The 20083-nt window shown below is 42.3% G+C and overlaps 1 protein-coding gene across 6 annotated transcripts, besides 1 other annotated feature; it reads left to right on the forward strand.

Annotated features, from left to right (window-relative positions):
- Positions 1435–1936: an enhancer, noted in NCBI's record as "H3K27ac hESC enhancer chr5:178450433-178450934 (GRCh37/hg19 assembly coordinates)". NCBI's record gives its function as "activates a minimal SCP1, AML or CMV promoter by ChIP-STARR-seq in naive H9 embryonic stem cells {active_cell/tissue: H9 hESC(naive)}" and the evidence as "EXISTENCE:reporter gene assay evidence [ECO:0000049][PMID:30033119]".
- On the forward strand, positions 1807–13067 carry ZNF879 (zinc finger protein 879). Of its 6 annotated transcripts, none has more exons than NM_001353373.2 (5): positions 1807–2878; positions 2973–3040; positions 5476–5602; positions 6035–6130; positions 10208–13067. In NM_001353373.2, exons 2-5 carry the CDS (start codon positions 3008–3010, stop codon positions 11641–11643), a joined length of 1692 nt encoding a protein of 563 aa, NP_001340302.1. In that variant the 5' UTR covers positions 1807–2878; positions 2973–3007; the 3' UTR covers positions 11644–13067. The 6 variants fall into 6 exon arrangements, with proteins under 6 accessions (NP_001340302.1, XP_011532853.1, NP_001340301.1 ...); XM_011534551.3 differs by having other exon boundaries at positions 1807–2036; NM_001353372.2 differs by having other exon boundaries at positions 1807–1920.
- Positions 13068–20083: the final 7016 nt, after the last annotated feature.

Consider the following 20083-nt stretch of genomic DNA (forward strand, 5'->3'; position numbering starts at 1 on the left):
TTATGCCAAACTCCCTACATTTTATTTACTCTGAAGACTCAGGGCTTCCTCAGCTTGAATGTGTTTTCTGCTATATCTCTATCACTATTTCTGTATGTAATCAATCTGTTATTATTCCCCCTCCCCATTTTCTCTGCTTTCTTCTGAATCTTTTTATTAGATTTTGGGTATCAGAGCACTTGTCTCCTGCATGTCTTCCAAATGTTTCCTCAATTTCTGGTGTTCTGATGGTATTTTTCTAGAGTTGCATTAGATTTGCTCCTTTGAAAATTATATGTGTTTGGGGTTACTTTGAAGAATATGAAGAGAAAAAGGGAGGTAATCATGGGTACTCAGTCTGGCACCTTTTACTTTGTAAATCTCAATGCTATGTTGTTTTGTCAATAATGGTCTATAACTGTCATATCTTTATTATTATTATTTTAAAATAATAATTAAATATAGAAATAACATATGGTCCAGAAATGGAATTGCCCATGTGTTAATTCTACATTTAATTTTTTTTTGAGGAACTGCCATACCGTTTTCCAGCGCAGCGCTACCATTTTACATTCCCACCATTAAGGCACAAGGATTGTTTTCTGGTTTTCTTTTTTTTCCAAATTTTATAATAGCCAACCTAATGAGTGTGAAATCGCAGTGGATGTTTGATCTGCTTTGATCTGCATTCCCCTAATGATTAGTGATGTGCATTATTATCTTTTAACAATATAAAACATCCATTTTGTTCGATTTAATTATTTTTACATTGCAATAATCTTTGTATTGTTGTAACATCGTGATCCAAGATTTCTTTTTCATATTATCTACCTGATATCTCTTAGTCCCTCTCTGCATTTTCTATCTTCAAGTACCCTTTGTGTTTAGGTTTGTCTCTGTAAACGCTAATGTTTGATATTTTAAAAATCAACACTTTCTGAGCACATAGTATTTGGCGTGTACAGTGCCGGTCACCGAGGATGCAGTTGTGATGATAGCGCTGGGAGTTGGGCTTTATTTTACGTTTTAAAGAAGTCACTTCAAAAGAAGTGAGTGCCATGAAGAGGGAAATACTAGGCTTATGCTTTTGTTTTACTCTGAGTGCCAGTAAATATGTAAAGATTACAAAAATTTATTTATTTATTTATTTATTTATTTGAGACAGAGTCTTGCTCTGTCACCCAGGCTGGAGTGCAATGGCGCGATCTGAGCTCACCGCAACCTTCGCCTCCCAGGTTCAAGCGATTCTCCTGCCTCAGCCTCCCGAATAGCTGGGATTACAGGCATGTGCCACCACGCCCGACTAATTTTTCGTGTTTTCGTAGAGACAGGGTTGCACCATGTTGGCCAAGATGGTCTCGGTCTCCTGACCTTGTGATCCGCCCACCTCGGCCTCCCAAAGTGCTGCGATTACAGGCATAAGCCACCGCGCCCGGCCGAGATTATAAAATTTAGACATAATTCATTTTTAATTAAAATCGCAGAATGGACTGTAATAGTTCTGTCACCACCTGCGAATAATCAGCAGCGGCTAGTCTTCCAGATTTAAAAATTCATACTCACTTTTCCGTCTTACTATTTTTGTCATTCTAATTACGAATACAATGGGTGGTTTAGCGGAGGGAGAGTAGTTGGAGCCCAAGCTGAGGGACTCGGCTTCAGCCTTCTCGAACTCCACAGCCCGACCGCGTTCTCCGCTCTCGGCGCTGTGGTTCTCTCTCGGACACCGTAAGTGGTGGTGCCGCAGCGACGTCTGGGAAATGAAGTCCGGAGGGACAAACGCTGCGGTTCAGCCAGGGAAACCCGTCGGCTCTCCGGCGCGCAGGCGCAGTTGCGCCCGGCAGCGACGGGAAACGTCTCTGAATTAGGTGTTCCGCTCGCCTCTTGTGCGGTGTGGAGCTGCGCGCCCCCCGCCGAGGCGGGCCCAGGTACAGGCTGCCGGTGAGGGCGGGCCCGGGGCGTGCGGCTGCCGCGGCGGGACCAGGACGAGGGCTGGCCTCTGCGCGTGTCTGCCGAGTCCCCGGCTCCGGGCGTCCGAGCCGGGGCGGCCTCGGCAGGTGAACCCGGCCCCGGAGGGGGCGTGGCCTGGGAAGGGCCTGGCGGAGGCCGGGAGGGCGCTTCGACGCCGCTGGACTCCTGGGCCGCAGCCTGGGCCGGACTCCGGGGGAAACGGCTCCAGAACAGAAACTGCAAAATGCCGCCTCGGTTCAGGGTCCGGAGCCCTCCGGGCGGTTTTTCGCTCTTAGTGTTTGTGGGTTTAAGCCTCCCCCTACTCCGTTTCCCGGAGTTTAAACTTTAGATTTACTCGTTTTTGGCAGTCTTGCACGTTTGGCAGTGTTTTCCTACAGCCAGTCCTAGAGTGATTTAACTATTTCTTTTTTTATTTACCGTAACCATGTCCACTTGCTACGTTTCTTCCCATTTCTCTAAATTTTAAATCAATTTCTAGCTAGTGATGCTGTTTTCTTGCGCCCTTGTTTTTTTGGGGCCAGGGAGAATGGGTAACGCTACCTTTAAGCAGCTTTGATAACTGTTTTTGATAAAGGAAGTAAATCTTACAAGAGGAAGAAAAGAGGACTAATTTTTGGTTGGCTGTTCCTAAAAAAGAGCATCAGTTCTTCAACTGCTGTTTTTCGTATTGAACAACATCCAAGTGCAGATGTGTGGAATATTGTGTCATTTCCTATTACTTTATCTGAATGAGCCTTGCCTGATTCTGCCCTTGACCCTGTTAAGGCACGGCAGATGGTCTTCATCCCTTCGCTCCTTTCGTCTTTATCGTAAAGCACTGGCAGAAAGGTAGCAGGCCCGGTGACTCTGAACCTGCTTCCCACACTGGTTTAAGTGGCCGGACTTAGGGCCCCTCTGGCCTGGGCAGTTCCAGGCTCCTTCTCTGCAGGTGCTCAGCTTATGGCTTCTAACCTGGTCTGGCCTAATGAGGGTGGGCATGCAGGCTGGATGAAAAGACCTCACAGCTTTTTTCTCCATTCCAGGTGCCTTCTCCAAGAGAGGCAGCAGGGAGGGAGAAATGGCAAGGAGGTTGCTGCCAGCCCATGTACAGGTGAGTGAAGGCTTCTTTTTGCTTGAACTGCCTTCAGGGTCTAGACGTGGTAAACTTCTTCATCTGTTGTTGAGCTTCTCTACCCAGTGAAGCTCAGGGAAGGACCAGAGGGCTTGGTAGCTGAGAAACTCTGGAAGGAAGGTGTTTCCCTTGCCTCAGAGCCTGTCTCATGCTTTTTTTTTTTTTTCTTTCCCTTTTTTGAGACAGGGTCTCACTCTGTTACCCAGGCTGGAGTGCAGTGGCACGGACATGGCTCACTGCAGCCTCAACCTCCCTGGTAGCTGGGACTACAGGCATGTGTGCCACCACACCCAGCTAATTTTTGTATTTTTAGTAGAGACCAGGCTTCAACAAGTTGGCAAGGCTGGTCTTGAACTCCTGACCTCAAGCAATCTGCCCGCCTCAGCCTCCTAAAGTGTTGGGACTATGGGCGTGAGCCACCGCGCCCGGCCCCCAGTCTCATGCTTTTTGACAAAGAATTTAATGGGGCTCCAATGCCAGGCCACTGCCACTACCAGAGCTTTGTGAAAGATCCAGGTGTTTTTGCCCTGTGGAGGACAAAGACACGGAGGAGTTAAATAATTCCTTCCTAACACGGGGAATTTGAAAAAGAGAGGCCCTGTATTCCCAGGACCTTGGGAGGCCAAGGTGGGCAGATCACTTGAGGTCAGAAGTTCAAGACCAGCCTGACCAACATGGTGAAACCCGGTCTCTACTAAAAATACAGAAGTTAGCTAGGGATGGTGGTGCATGCCTATAGTCCCAACTGCTCTGGAGGCTGAGGCAGGAGAATCACTTGAACCCGGGAGGCAGGGGTTGAAGCGAGCGGAGATCATGCCACTGCACTCCAGCCTGCGTGACACAGCGAGACTCCGTCTCAAAAAAAAAAAAAGCCAGGTGTGGTGGGTCTGGTGGTGCGCTCCTGTAATCCCAGTTAGTCCGGAGGCTGAGGCAGGAGAATCACTTGAACCCGGAAGGTGGAGGTTGCAGTGAGCTGAGATTGTGCCATTGCACTCCAGCCTGGTGACAGAGCAAGACTCCATCTCAAAAAAAAAAAAAAAAAAACAAAGAAAGAAAAATATGTCTGAAGGAGATAAGCTTTGTACGCCTTTGTGATTCTGTACAGGATGCTCAATTCAGCATTTCTAGAGTATGAACAAAGTGCAAACAACCTAAACATCCAGTGCTAGGGGAGTTACATAAACTAGATCATCTGTACACTGAACTACTGGGCAGCATGTAAACAGTGGTGACCAGGATGCTGTTATTTGTATAATGTGATTTTATTTTTATTTAAATATAGAACCATATTTGCATGAAAATCACCTGAAGAGACATAGCAAAAAGTTAACTTTTTCTGGTGGTAGAAAGTTAGATGAGCACTTCTTGTTGTTTTGCTTATTGATCTTTTAGAATTTTCTAGTAAGCTTTTTTAAGATGATTCGTTTTGTTTTGTTTTTTAAGAGACAGGATCTTACTCTGTTGCCCAGGCTGGAGTGCAGTAGTGTGATCACACGTCACTGCAGCCTCGACCTCCTGGGCTCAGGCAAGCCTTTTGTCTCAGCCTTCTGAATAACCGGGACTACAGGCGCATGCCACCACACCCAATTAATTAAAAAAAAATTATTTTTTGCAGAGATGAGGTCTCTCTATGTTGCCCAGGCCGGTCTTGAACTTCTGGGCTCAAGTAATCCTCCTTTCTCGGCCTCCCAAAGTGCTGGGATTATAGGCGTAAGCCACTGTGCCCAGCCAAGAAGATGACTCTCAAGAAGGGGAGATGGCCCTAGTTCAGAGCAGTAACATGCCATCCAGTGAAGGAGGAGAGAGATAGAAGAACAGGAGCTTCTGGGGTGGGGAGGGAGACTACTGACCATAGCCTTCTCCTCTGGCTTGAAAGGTTATGTAGCCCACCACCTGGGACCTCTCCTGACACAGCCATGCCTGGAACATTCTCATAGCCTTCCCTACTGTGAATGTCAGTGTCATCTTTCCCAGGACTCATAGAGATGGCCCGAGTTGAGGCAGAACTAGGACTCAGTGACCGCCTTTCCCAGCAAGCCTGGTGGTGTTCCACCTATATCTCCCTCAGTGAATGTGCTGGTGCCTCCTTCCGAAACCTGACTGTCAGGTGTGACCTGTAAGATGAGGGTTTGGTCTAGGTGATCGGACGTTTCCAAATCTAAAGTTCAGTGTTTTCTTGCTCTGATTTTGTTTCATGGGTTCAAGTGCTTCTCTTGGTTGGCCTCTGTGTTCAAGCTTCCTGAGGGGACGGTGTTTCACTCACCATAGGTAAATGATAAATGTGTGCTTGGTAACTGAAAAGTTGTCCAGAAACACTTGAAATACTTAGAACCCTAAGTTGTGACAGGGTTGCTTCTCAGTCTTCTCGTTGTGGGGACAGTCCTGGATGAACAGGAGTGGGTTTGCCATTCCAGGAGTCCGTGACGTTCAGGGATGTGGCCGTGTTCTTCAGCCAGGACGAGTGGTTGCACCTGGACTCTGCCCAGAGAGCCTTGTACCGGGAGGTGATGCTGGAGAACTACAGCATCCTGGTCTCACTGGGTAAGGAACTTTCCTCCTGATGCAGAATCTGCCAGGAGAGCACCTTAGCACCCTCAGGGGGCACATTTGGAGGGCTTGGCCAGGTCGGCTCACAGGTGGGCTCCAAGAGTGGCCATTGCCATTCCCCTTGGTTGTATGGAGAGACCTTGGCTTAGTAGAGTTGATGAAGGGGTCTTTTCTCTGCTTTTCCTGTCTTCTGCCCACTGAGCTCTGTTCCCTGAGCCCCACAGGGTGTTCCTGCTGAGAGGAGTGCACAACCAGAGCCCTGACTTTCTTCCTGGGACCATCTCCTGGTTGTCCTCTAGGAGCCCAGTTTGAAGCCTCTCAGAACAAACCTCCTCCTTCCCTGTACTGCCCCTCTGCCCTGGGCACTCTGGGGCTGGACCCGCCTGCTACGATGGCCGCTCACGTTTCTTTCTTGTTCATGAACAGGGATTCTCTTTTCCAAGCCAAAGGTCATCTCCCAGTTAGAGCAAGGAGAAGACCCCTGGATGGTGGAGAGTGGAGTTCCCCAAGGCGCACATCTCGGTGAGTGACAGAGTAATTGGGAGATGGGCATAACATTTTCCCACTGCCAGGGCACAGCGAGGAGGCTGCGCTCAAGGGTCTCCTTGATGTGCCAGGCCAGGGGGAAATGCTGGGAAGGTAGATCCTTTCTCTTTTGATTACTTGATCCATCATGTTCAGAGGAGGGTTGAATTCTCCCAATATGGGTTGCACTGTTTTCAGATATCTTGTAATTTGCAGAATATGTAATACAGTATATCATGTGTAAAGGTTTATAATTCTTTTATCTTCCTTTATCCTTGCTTTTACTGGATTGATTCTTTTCCTAAATTATTTTCCTTAGTGGCTTGAACATTACATTGTTTTTTTTTAATCACTACAATACATTCCTCATAGTTTCATCTTGGAACCATCTTTTGCTTTGATTTCTTTGGTGTACAACTTAATTATACATGGTTCAAAAGGGGGAAAAAAGCAGATATATGTGTATGTATTTACATACATGAAAGAGGGAAAGAAGGTGTGACAAACGGTAACAGTTACGGAATGTGAGTGGGCTTCCGGATACTCATCACGCTATTCTTCTCTTTTCTGTGAAAATTTAGAAAATAATGCATCCCAGATCCCAGCTCCTAAGGCATGTCACTTTTTCCCTATACGCCCTTGGATGACTGCATTATCAGCTTCCGCATTCATTCTCCTGTGAATTCTGTCTATGCTTCTGGCAGTAGAGGAGGCCTCTGTTGAGCTTTACCACGTGTCTGGTGTTTTTTTCTCACCTGGGCAGGGCGTGGGCTTTCTGGGCCAGTTCACTTTTGCGTTTCCATTCGTGAACTCTGTCTTCACATTTTTCCCTTTGGCTCGACTAGAATATTTTCTTGGGTAACGGTTTTCAAAAAAGGTTCATGTGTGCAATATCTGTACGTGTCAAAAATCAGTTGTTTTTTTCTCTCCTCTGAGATTTGTTGTTTTGGATCTAGAATTCTGGCATCTGTTTTTTTTTTTTTTTTTCCTCTCTGCATTGTCCAAACTGCTCCACTGTCTTTGGGCATGGAGTGCTGCTGACAAATAATCCCATTAGTCAGATTCTATTTCCTGTATAGGTAACTTGTTTTTTCTTTTCTGTCTTCTCTTTGGAATCTTACAGGACATCATCTTTATCTTTGGAATTCAGACTTTTCATTAGGTTATATGAAAGAGTATTTTTTTTTCTTTGTTCTTTGGCACTTTACTGGCCTCTTTGCTTTGAAGATTCAGTCCTTCCTTTCATTTCAGGGATCTTTTGTTTCTGCCACATTCCACCAACAATGTGAGGCAATTGACTGCAAGAGTAGTGATACAATAAAATAGAAATTCAATCAGACATCTAGAAAATAAATAGATCTGTAGTAAGGACCAGAATGGTAGCTATAAATGAGTTTCAAATTTCGCTCTGAGCTTTCTGGTTGGCAAATAAATCATTGGTATCACATTGTCAGTGTTGTTTTACAAGCATTTTTAAAAATTAATTATTTTAAATTTGTACAAATTCTACATGCTGTTGTAAAAATAGGAGCAAAAAAAAGTCACCTGGAATTTTACCAACTATGATCAATTATTGTTGTTTATTACCCATTCAAACTGCATATTTGCTTAAATGTGTTTGTGTGTGAGAGACAGACACAGTGAGAGAGAGATACAGAAAGATTGATTATACAGTTTGTTCTTGATCCTGTTTTAATTGTGAATGTCATTCAGTTATTCAGCCCTCAGTGAATAGAGGCCTACCTCATTGAGAGGACTATATTGTATGTTAAGCCAATTAAACAGTCTTCCTTTTGGAAATTTTAGTTACCAGTTTTTCTCTGTTACTAATATTGCTAAGATGGTTATGGGAATACAAAGCCATAATATAAAGAGGCAAAGGTACCAAGAGTAAATCATCACAGTACAAAGACATGAGTATTGTGATTGAAAAGGCCAGGCATGTGGATTAAAAATCCACAAGGGATTTTTTGAAGCACTATTCAACTTCATTAAATTAAAATCAATGAAATTCCAACGAAGCACAAGTTACCATTTTTCCCTTATTACCAAGGATTAAGAAATAGATACCCAATGTGTTGCCACTGCTGTGAGTGATAAGCAGTATCGTTAGTGGGACTGCAACTGGTAGTCTTTCTGAGGATGGTCTGGTTTTATTAAAATCAATTCCAAGTGTAGAAATGTTAAGATAATTTCTGCACAGATAACTGTGCAGAGTTACAAAGATGTTGTAAAAGAATGTTTGTTATAACATGAGGCATCACTGCCACAAAAGGAGGAGGGTAAATGACTCTCAAAAAGGGATTTAGTAAATGATGATGTTTTCATGCATTGGACATATTATATTGCCATTAAAATGATGATGTCAGCCTACATTTATTGACATGGAGAGAAGCTCATGATTTTTAAGTGAAATGGAGGTAAAGGAAGCTTAATTTCAATCCATTTTAATTTTTTAATTAAGTGATTTTTTATATGCAGAAAATTCTGGTGAGCTATGTCCCACATATGATAGTGATTACAATTGCATGATGTATTTATGGGTGAGCTATGTGTTCATTTTTATAGTTTTCTGTGTTTTTCTTATGATGATATATTTCTTTTGTAGTTAAGAAAATAAAAGCTGTTTCATAAAATACAAAAGGAAATACATTTCTTTTGAATCAATGATTCCATTTCTTGTACTGTATCTTAAGTAACCAAAAAGGTAGACAAAAAATTACTCTCAATAATGTTCTTTTCTCCCAGTATTCCCCAATATCATGATAATGGTGTTGGTGTCCATTGAGTTGCCCAGACCAAAAGCTAGGAGTCATCCTTGAGTCCCCTCTTTCATTGCCTCTGCGCTCTATTCGTAGGTGAAGATACCTGCCAGTGCTACTTGCAGAACATCCCAGATACGCCCACCTCTTTCCGTCTCTTATCACCACATGCCAGTGTCAGCCACCACCATCTTCATCCAGGAAGAGTGCAGCGGCCTCATTGCCTGTTCTGCAGCTGCCCTTGTTCTCTTTCTCCCCGGCCCCATTACAGTTTGTTTTTCATATAGCAACCAGAGTGATCCTTTTTAAACAAAAACCACATCATTTCATGTCCCTTCTAGCCCTCAGTGATGCTGATGAACTTCCAATATCTTCCTGTATCCTAGAAAACGCTCCACAATATAGCCTGGCCCACCTCTTTTCCTCATCTGTGACACTCTCTTCTTGTTCACTCTGCTTCAGCTATCATGGACTGCTATATGTCCTGGAAAACAGGAAGCTATTCCTGCCTAGGGCCTTTGTGTTACTGTTCTTTCTGACTGGAATCACCTTTATACCCTAATTTTTGTCTGGCCAGCGCTTGTTATTTAGATCTCATCTTTAATTTCATTTTCTCATCACCCAGTTTAAAATAGTTGCCTATTCACTCTTATTACACAGTGCTTCGTTCGTGTTTTCTTACAGTTCTCATTGCTCCTTTGTACTGCTGTTGATTTGTTACTTGGTCATTGTCTGTATCACACTGCTGGAATGAAAACCTTGAGAGTAGGCCCTTGTCTGGCTTGTGCCCTGTCATTCTCAGAGTCTTAACGTTTGCGTAGCACACAGTAGGCACTCAGTAGGTATTACTTGAGTAAGTGGATGCCATTATTTACAGCATTCTGAGGAGGCCTAGAGCAGCACTGCTTGACATCCTGTGTTTGGCGGAGCTCTTCTCTTTCATTTAATTTTAGCCCCTCTGCAGTTTTTCCCTTGGTATTTACCTGAGTGCACTGGTAGCTGCCCTGGGAGATGACGCTGAGGGACACAGGCTGTGTTCAGAAGGGCCTCATAGCCTAGCGAGCTGTGCTTTGTTAATAGATCGAGCCTGGCTCTTCCTGTTGTCCCCTAATTTCCTCAGCCCACCTATATGTAGGTTTCTTCAGACCCTTCCCACCCACATGTCTGTCATCCTGCTTCCTTCCTCCTCTTCTTTTTCCCATCCTTTTCTAAGATTTCAAGGCTTTATATTTTTTAACTATCCTTGTGCGTTTTTATGTCACTTTTTAAAATTCTGAGTTCAAGAGAGACTTATATGTTTTGTCTACTTTAGGATGGGAAAGCTTGTTTGGAACCATAGTTTCTAAAGAAGAAAATCAGGAAGTCATGAAAAAACTCATAATTGATGGCACATTTGACTTCAAGTTGGAGAAGACCTACATAAATGAAGATAAGTTAGAGAAGCAACAAGGCAAAAAGAACAGACTTTTCAGTAAAGTGTTAGTTACCATCAAAAAAGTCTACATGAAGGAGAGGAGCTTTAAAGGTGTTGAATTTGGGAAAAATCTTGGTCTAAAATCATCGCTTATTAGAAAACCGAGAATAGTTTCCAGAGGAAGGAGACCCCGTTCACAGCAGTATTCAGTTCTCTTTAAACAACTGGGGGTCAACACAGTGCGTAAATGTTATAAATGTAATATCTGTGGGAAAATCTTCCTCCACAGTTCCTCCCTGAGTAAACACCAGAGAATCCACACTGGAGAGAAGCTCTATAAATGTAAGGAATGTAGGAAAGCCTTCAGCCAAAGCTCATCCCTAACTCAGCACTTGAGGGTTCATACAGGAGAGAAACCTTATATATGTAGTGAATGTGGAAAAGCCTTCAGTTTCACCACATCTCTTATTGGACACCAGAGAATGCATACTGGAGAGAGACCTTATAAATGCAAGGAATGTGGAAAAACATTTAAAGGTAGTTCATCTCTTAATAATCACCAGCGAATTCACACAGGAGAGAAGCCCTATAAGTGTAATGAATGTGGGAGGGCCTTCAGTCAGTGCTCATCTCTCATTCAGCACCACAGAATTCATACTGGGGAGAAACCGTATGAATGTACTCAGTGTGGGAAAGCCTTCACTTCAATATCGCGGCTAAGTAGGCACCATCGAATTCATACTGGAGAGAAACCCTTTCATTGTAACGAGTGTGGAAAAGTATTCAGCTATCACTCAGCCCTTATCATACATCAGAGAATTCACACTGGTGAGAAACCATATGCATGCAAAGAATGTGGGAAAGCCTTCAGCCAAAGCTCAGCTCTCATACAACATCAAAGAATTCACACTGGAGAAAAACCCTACAAATGTAATGAATGTGGGAAAGCCTTCTCTTGGATTTCACGGCTTAATATACATCACAGAATTCACACTGGAGAGAAACCATATAATTGTAAGGAATGTGGAAAAGCCTTCAGTTCCCACTCAGGCGTTAATACTCATCGAAAAATTCATACTGGAGAAAAACCTTATAAATGTAATGACTGTGAGAAAGCCTTCAACCAAAGCTCAGCTCTAATTCAGCACCAGAGAATTCATACTGGAGAGAAACCATATAATTGTAAAGTGTGTGGGAAAGCCTTCAGACAGAGTTCATCCCTTATGACACACATGAGAATTCATACAGGGGAAAAACCTTATAAATGTAAAGAATGTGGGAAGGCTTTTAGTCAGAGCTCATCTCTTACTAATCATCAAAGGACTCATAATTGAGAAAAACTGTATAAATGCATGTAGGAACTGAAGTTATATTCCATACTGAGTATCAAAAAATTCATTGTGGGGAGAAAGTGATGAAGAGTAGTTAATCATAGGTAAAACTTCAGCATTAGACCTCATCACACATCAGAGACTTCATGATGCAGGGTAACCTTGGGAATGCTAGAAAAGCTTCTATAAAATGTTTATTCATATGTTCTTAAGTTATTACCATGAAATGGAGAATTTTTAAGATTGCAGGGTTAGTATTTGATTGTCTAGTGATGTACGATAACAGCCACCAGCTTTCCTGAGCATCACTGGGAAGCCTGCTGTTTATGTACAAGTACAGCCATAAAATCCAGACACAGATAAATCTAGGAATCTATTTTTTGAAACTATTATGCAAGCCAGTGGTACTAGAAAGAATGTTTTAGAAAAGAAATATGTACAGGTGACCCATAGCTACCTCACTGTCACTAAAATGTTTTTTAATAATCTTAAAGCAGATTCTGCACTTCATGGTAAAGACTTTGAATTGTTTCTCTGCTTTCTAAGCCATTCACCTGAGAAGAAAATCACTCCATAAACTATGCAGACGTACTGTCTTTGCGTTTTCTTCCTGACTACTTGTTCCAAACTCTGAGTCAGATCTAAAGTCACTTTAAGTCACAGAACGCATGGTATTTCACTTGTTTTTCTCATTAAAAGTGATTACCTTTGCTGTATTAAATTGATAAGTAAAGGTCATTCAGACAACCACTGCTTTTGCAATTTACTGAAAAATGTTATAAATTATCTCAGAATGTAGCCAATAGCAAGCACAGCTCAGCTCCCAGGGTCTGCCTGCTTCTGTGAGCTTTCTGGTTACCAGCCACCAGAAGGCCCAGGAACAATGTAGAACTCAGGTCATCATCCTTGGAGGTAAAATGAACCAGATGATTTTCACCCTTACTTCCACTTTTTCGCCTTCATCAGACAAGGTTCACTTTCTCCCCACACTCTAAAGGTCACTGGGCAAATATTTAGGCTCTGAGTTCAGATACTCTTTCTTCCAGCAAATGGACTTACACTCTTCAACAAGTGATTTAGCTCATTTCAGCATTTCTAAAATGTGAATCATAAGATTAGCAAGCTAAAAACAGTTATCTCACAAGTCAAAATTGTTGGGCTTTACAGAGGCTAACATCTAGTTTAGCCAAGTTTATCAGGAGGGGGCAAGCACTTAAGGGCTGAAACGACCCATTTCATAAAGTGCTAAGTTTTTCTGCCAAGGAACTTTAAAAAATAGAAAACTGGCTGGGTGCAGTGGCTCACGCCTGTAATCCCGGCACTTTGGGAGGCCAAGACGGGCAGATCATGAGGTCAGGAGATCGAGACCATCCTGGCTAACATGGTGAAACCACGTCTCCACTAAAAATACAAAAAAAAAAAAAAAATTAGCCGGCCATGGTGGCGGGCGCCTGTAGTCCCAGCTACTTGGGAGGCTGAGGCAGGAGAATGATGTGAACCTGGGAGGTGGAGCTTGCAGTGAGCCGAGATCGTGCCACTACTCTCCAGCCTGGGCAACAGAGCGAGACTCCATCTCATTAAAAAAAAAAAATAGGAAAGTGTTATTGGGAGCATAGCAAAAATCACTGAATACAGCTTTTGCCTCCTGGGTTACTCAGTCTCATTGTTTCAGACTTGTGAAGAACAGACTTTTCTGGATCATTGAATGCTTCATCTCTAATCCTTACTTCCCACAACTGTTCAGTTTTTTTTCTCTACCTAAGTTGTAAAAATTCCTAGGGAAGTAGAACTTCCCTAACTATTAGTAGTTTTAAAATCATCAAAAAGTTAAATCTGAATTAAAATCACACAAAGAGAACATTAGGCCAAGTTATTTTTTAAAACAAGATCTGTCAAAACTTGAAGTAACAGATAGATCAAGTTTTATGGAAAGTCTCCCAGAGGAGATAATGTAATAGCACAATTTTGCTAATATAACCCAGTGCCAAAGCCAGGTAAAGCACAAGAAATGAATATTATAGGCCAATATTACCTATGAACAAGAGGTGAAATCCCAAGCAAATCATTAGCAAACGTAATCCAGAGCACCTAAGCATAGTTAATAACATGATAAAAGTTCATTTATAGAAAGCCTACTGAAAAAGAATGGTAAGATGTTAGAAGCATTAATGACAAGAAATACCGAGAAAGAATAAACTGTAGCTGGGCACAGTAGCTCACGCCTGTAATCCCACCACTTTGGGAGACTAAGGTGGGTGGATCACCTTAGGTCAGGAATTCGAGGCCAGACTGGTCAACATGGCGAAACTCTGTCTCTACTAAAACTACAAAAATTAGCCGGGTGTGGTGGCACATGCCTGTAATCACAGCTACTGAGGAGGCTGAGGCAAGATAATTGCTTGACCCCAAGGAGGCAGAGGTTGCACTGAGCCGAGATCATGCCACTGCACTGCAGCCTGGGTGACAGGACTGTCTCAAAAAACAAAAAGAATGAACTGTTCAAAATTGGCTCTGAGACAGAAATGATTCACAGAAAAAAAATTAGATCCCTACCCTCACCATAACAATTATATGAAAAGCAAAAACTGAATAACTTGGAGGAATATGTAAAGGAATAATTTTATGTTCTTGAGATTGGGAAAGATTTCTTAAACAGGCTACAAATTAGCTATATAAAATTTTTGATTTATTTGCTCACATGAAAGAACTTCTTACCAAAGTATACAAAAACGGAGGTGAAAAAAGTCAAGACACAAAATCGATCTTTCTACAGTATGCCCAACAAAACTACTATAATCCAGAAATACTAATTTGTACAAATCAATAATAACACTAGGAAAATGGGCTAAATACATGACTTCTTATTTCACAGAAAAGAAAATACAAATTTCCAGAAACACGAAAAGGTAACTAACTTCATTAGTAGTTAAAATGCAAATTAAGGCCACGGTAATGTATGATTTTACAACCACAAATGAGGAAAAATTAGGATGTGTGACAATACTGAGCTTCAGGATGTATGTGGAATAAGAAATTCAGTAGTAGTGGGAATATAAGTCAGAGATGACTGACATAAAGCTGAACTTGTGCGTGTTGTGGACATCTGCATAGATGCACTGGAGAAATGATTGCATGTGGGCATCAAGGGATGTATAAAGATATTCTTAGCAGCACTGATCATCACACCAAATGATTGTAAGTAGTCTGAATGTCCATTAATTAGGAGAATGGATATATTTTGGAATATTAACACAGTAGAAACAGCAGTGAAAAGGAATAAAGTGAAGCAAAACATGGATGAAGCTGGCATGGTGGAGCACATCTGTAGTCCCAGCTACTCTGCTGAGGCAGGAGGATCACTGTTGCCCAGGTGTCCAAGACCAACCTGGGCAACATAGCAAGACAATGTCTCTAAAACAAAAAAACGGATAGATTGAAAAACACATTTTTGAGTTTTTAAAAGTCATTGGCAAACTACATAGGGTATGATACAATTTTTTTGCAAAATTATATGTTAAAAGGTATATACTGGCCGGGCGCAGTGGCTCACGCCTGTAATCCCAGCACTTTGGGAGGCTGAGGCAGGCAGATCACGAGGTCAGGAGATCAGGGCCATCCTAGCTAACATGGTGAAACCCCATCTCTACTAAAAATACAAAAAATTAGCTGGGTGTGGTGGCACATGCCTGTAGTCTCAGCTACTCGGGAGGCTGAGGCAGGAGAATCACTTGATCAGGAGGCAGAGGCTGCAGTGAGCCAAGATCGTGCCACTACATTCCAGCCTGGGTGACAGAACAAGACTCTTCCTCAAAAAAAAAAAAAAAAAAAAAAAAAAAGATATGTACATGTTTTAAAGATATTTAAATAACATCAAATGATTGAGAATATATTGTAGTTATCCATTGCTGTAGGACGAATCGCCCCAAATGTAGTGTTGGACAACAATGTATTGTCTGTCATGAGCCCATGTTGGGGCTTAGCTGGGAGGTTCTTACTTGCTGTCTAGTAGCTGTGCCATCAGAGCGGCTGGGGCTGAAGCTAAACTGGGCTTCAGGATGGCTGGCAGTTGCTGGTAACTGCTGGGTGAGAGCTGGCTTGGGCTACTCCATGTGGCTTGGGCTACTCCATGTGGCTTGGGCTTCTTACAGAATGGGGGTTGATTTCTGAGAGGGAGTGTCCCAAGAGCAAGTATTCCAAGAGAGCTAGGTAGAAGTTGCAGATCTTAAAAGCCAGCTTTAATTCTGTATACAATTGATTGAGAATGAGTCAAATTTGGCCCGTATTCAAGAGTAGTTTAATAAACTGAATGCCAAGGGCATGGTTCACTGGGGAACTGTGTATGGAGACTAGCTACCACATACATAAAGGACAGGGACTTTACAAAACTCTGGTGTGAGGCAAGGAGATGATGACTTGGGGAGAAGCACAGAGTCTTCCTCTACTTGCTTGGTGCTTGAGAGAGACTCCGTCTTCAGGAAGAGGCTGCTCCAGCCAGCCAGAGCCATTGGGTATGTCAGTAAAAAGAACTTTAAGAGAATTTGTCCAACTCAATCCTGGTGAGTTGAGGAGGAATAAAACAGAGATCCTGAAACCTGATCACCCAGGGTGATGTGAACATGAAGGTTAATATGGAATGAGCTTAAAGGTTGTACCTAACAGCCCTGCCACCATCAGAGCCTTCTTCAGGCCACTGCTCAACAGGAATGTGTCTCATTAACAAAGCTATCAACACTTTTCTCACCTGTCTATAATCTTCCCTTCTCATTCATCTCCCTAGATCTCCAGATAAAGAGAACATTGGTTCCTAACCAAAGTAAGGAAGTGCCCGGTAAATTATGTGTACCTTAAGATAAATAGGAAGAGAAAGAATTAACAATCATCTTTAAGTTGTCAACACATTTTCTTTGCCCAAGTTCTCTTGTTAAGACTCAACACTTCTCAACAGACTTGTTCAGAATCTAGGCAAAAAGAAAAATGTCCATTTTCATGGCTTCCTAACAGGTCGTTTCAAAGCAACCTGAAAAATGCAGAATATGTTTTAACTTTTATAATATGGTTGACATGCCTGATGTACTGTATTCAAAGAAATTACTTAAAATGCCCTTCTTTTCATGTGGTTTGGGGCTATTACTGGCTGCCACATGATCAGGTGTTTTCTCATGAATAGGTCTAGGAAAAATGAACAGGCCAGTTGTTTTCTAGTCTGGCCCTTCATTGGACCTGTCTGATGCTTCTTCATGATTAGATTTATGCTATGCGTTTTTTTGTTTGTTTTTTGCTTTTTTTTTTTTGAGACAGAGTCTTGCTCTGTCACCCAGGCTGGAGTGCAGTGGTGCAATCTCAGCTCACTGCAACCTCCACCTCCTGGGTTCAAGCAGTTCTCTTCCTCAGCCTCTCCAGTAGCTGAGATTACAGGCACCTGCTACCACGGCCGGCTAATTTTTTTTTTTTTTTTTTTAGTAGAGATGGGGTTTCACTATCTTCGGCAGGCTGGTCTTGAACTCCTGACCTCATGATCCACCTGCCTCGGCCTCCCAAAGTGCTGGGATTACAGGCGTGAGCCCCTGTGCTGGGCCTATGCTATGCTTTTTTGGTAAGGAAACCATGGAAGTAATACTGTATTCTGAGTTCATCATCACACCCTATTGGGGGATTGTGATTTACTCCAATTGCTGGTCATTTTAACTTTGCTGTCTTCATTCAGATGGTATCTGCCAGATTTTGCACTGTGAAGTTACAATCTTCCTTTTATAATCATCAGTCTCTTAACAGGAAATCCTATGAGTGTATGTATATGTATTTTTACTTGTCAAACTTGATTTACCAAGGCCAGACACAGTGGCTCATGCCTGTATCCCAGCACTTTGGGAGGCTGAGGTGGGAGGATTGCTTGAAGCCAAGAGTTTGAGACCATGGGAAACATGGTGAGACCCCATCTCTACAAAAAGTAAACTATCTGTGCATGGTAGCATGTGCCTGCAGTCCCAGCTACTCAGGAGGCTGAAGTGTGTTGATCGCTTGAACCTGGGAGTCTGAGGCAGCAATGAGCTGTGATCATGCCACTGCACTGCAGCCTGGGCCACAGAGTAAGACCCTGTCTCTAAAAATGATTTAAAAATAACATAATATAAAATAAATTATAATATATAAAACATTGTTTTAAAAACTTGATTCTCAGTCCGGTGCGGTGGCTCATGCCTGTAATCCCAGCACTTTGGGAGGCCGAGGCTGGCGGATCACCTGAGGTTGGGAGTTTGAGTCCAGCCTGACCAACATGGAGAAACCCCATCTATACTAAAAAAATACAAAATTAGCCGGGCATGGTGGTGCATGCGTGTAATCCCAGTTACTTGGGAGGCTGAGTCAGGAGAATTGCTTTAACCCGGGAGATGGAGATTGCAATGAGCTGAGATTGTGCTTTTGCACTCCAGCCTGGGCAACAAGAGCAAAACTCCATCTCAAAAAAAAACAAAAAACAATAAACTTGATCCTCTAGTTTCATCCATTGATGACACTTGATTTAATCACTTATTATAATTGCTTCCAAATGAAGATTGTGTAATTCCATTGTTTCTTCTACACTTGTTAATTGGCTTTCTGCTTTGAAGAAGAGTTTTATATTCTCTGTATATGTGTGTTTCTATGATTCTGGAAGCATAGTTTTCTATTTTATTCAATGGCCTGTAATCTGTTAATATCAATTATTTATTTTGATGCTGAAGTTGTCCCAGGATTGGCCTTTGGGACTCCCTTTAGGCTGATTTCTGTGTCCTTTCTGTTACAACAAGCTTGGGATTATATCCAAGATTTGTAATTCCAGCGTGCGTACTTCTGTCAGTGTAAGCAAAGTATGATTTTTGGACTAGATGACTTGGGCGTTGTCGGAGAGGTGGAGTTTAGAGGTATTCTCTGTTTTTCCTATAGGATCTTGCATTTCTTCCTCTTGGTGCTTGTCTCTTTGTGTTGGGAACAGGCCTCTCAAAATCTGGCCATAAACTGGCCCCAAAACTGGCCATAAAATCCCTGCAGCACTGTGACATGTTCATGATGGCCATAACGCCCACACTGGAAGGTTGTGGGTTTACCAGAATGAGGGCAAGGAACACCTGGCCCGCCCAGGGCAGAAAACCGCTTAAAGGCAGTCTTAAGCCACAAACAATAGCATGAGTGATCTGTGTCTTAAGGACATGCTCCTGCTGCAGGTAACTAGTCCAACTCATCCCTTTATTTTGGCCCATCCCTTCATTTCCCATAAGGGATACTTTTAGTTAATCTAATATCTGTAGAAACAATGCTAATGACTGGCTTGCTGTTAATAAATACATGGGTAAATCTCTGGGGCTGTCAGCTCTGAAGGCTGTGAGACCCCTGATTTTCCACTTACACCTCTATATTTTTGTGTGTGTGTCTTTAATTCCTCTAGTGCTACTGGGTTAGGGTCTCCCCGACTGAGCTGGTCTCGGCACTTTGATGTGTGGATTCCCCACCACTACCTTTCTGTTAGGAATTCACCTGAGGCATGACCTTCCTGTGGCTGTCTCCTCACATTCTGTGTGTACTTTATCAAAATGCAAAGTGATAAAATACACATAACATAAAATTTACCCTTTCACCCATTTTTAAATGTACAATCTATTTCCAGATCTTTTCATCATTTCAAACAGAGACTCTGTACCCATTAAGCAGTAACTCCTCATTTCCTCCTTCCCAGTCCCTAGTACCTTCTATACTGCTGTCTGTATGAATTTTACTACTCTAGGTATTTCTTATAAATGGAATAATACAATATTTGTTCTTTTATATCTGGCTTATTACATTTAGCATATGTCTTCAAGGTTCATTCATGTTATAGCATATGCCAGAATTTCCTTCTTTAAGGCTGAATAGTATTTATTTTATGTATATACCACATTTTGTTTATCCATTCATTGGTTGACATTTGGATCATTTGCACCTTTCAACAATTGTGAATAATGCTGCTGTGACCATTGGTGTACAAGTACCTGTTTGACCCCCTGCTTTCAATTACTGTCCCTGTAGTTTTGCCTTTTACAGAATGTCATATAAATGCAAAACCCATGTCATGCCTGTGGCAGGAGGTCTCAGAGCCACCGGCTTGCCAGTGTCTGCTTTGTGATCTCTACTTAAGTCTAATGATACAGACTATGGATGAGAGAAAATAAGCTATAGCATAACTTCAATTTATTTTAAGCAAATGAATTTAAAGACACAATTATAACATTGTAGGTTTTTCATGACCCATTCAATGAATTTATACAGCTGTGTTGGAAAGACCCAGATAGAACTTACCTCCTTTGGCTTCTGTATTTCAGCACCATCCTTTCTGCACATCTCTTCATGAAGGTCAGTTAGTTCTTTTTCCCAAAAAACTGTTTGCAATCACTCTTCATTGTGTCTGTGCAATTCTGATCTTCCTTTAACC

The sequence above is a fragment of the Homo sapiens genome, chromosome 5 (genome assembly GCF_000001405.40).
Source record: "Homo sapiens chromosome 5, GRCh38.p14 Primary Assembly".
NCBI lineage: Eukaryota > Metazoa > Chordata > Mammalia > Primates > Hominidae > Homo > Homo sapiens.

Bases quoted from the DNA above. Each gene is read 5' to 3' on its own strand.
- ZNF879 (NM_001353374.2), top strand. From the start codon at position 3,008: ATGGCAAGGAGGTTGCTGCCAGCCCATGTACAG. The intron at 3,041-5,475 runs GTGAGTGAAGGC...TTGCCATTCCAG, and splicing joins TGCTGCCAGCCCATGTACAG to GAGTCCGTGACGTTCAGGGA. The intron at 5,603-6,034 runs GTAAGGAACTTT...GTTCATGAACAG, and splicing joins CAGCATCCTGGTCTCACTGG to GGATTCTCTTTTCCAAGCCA.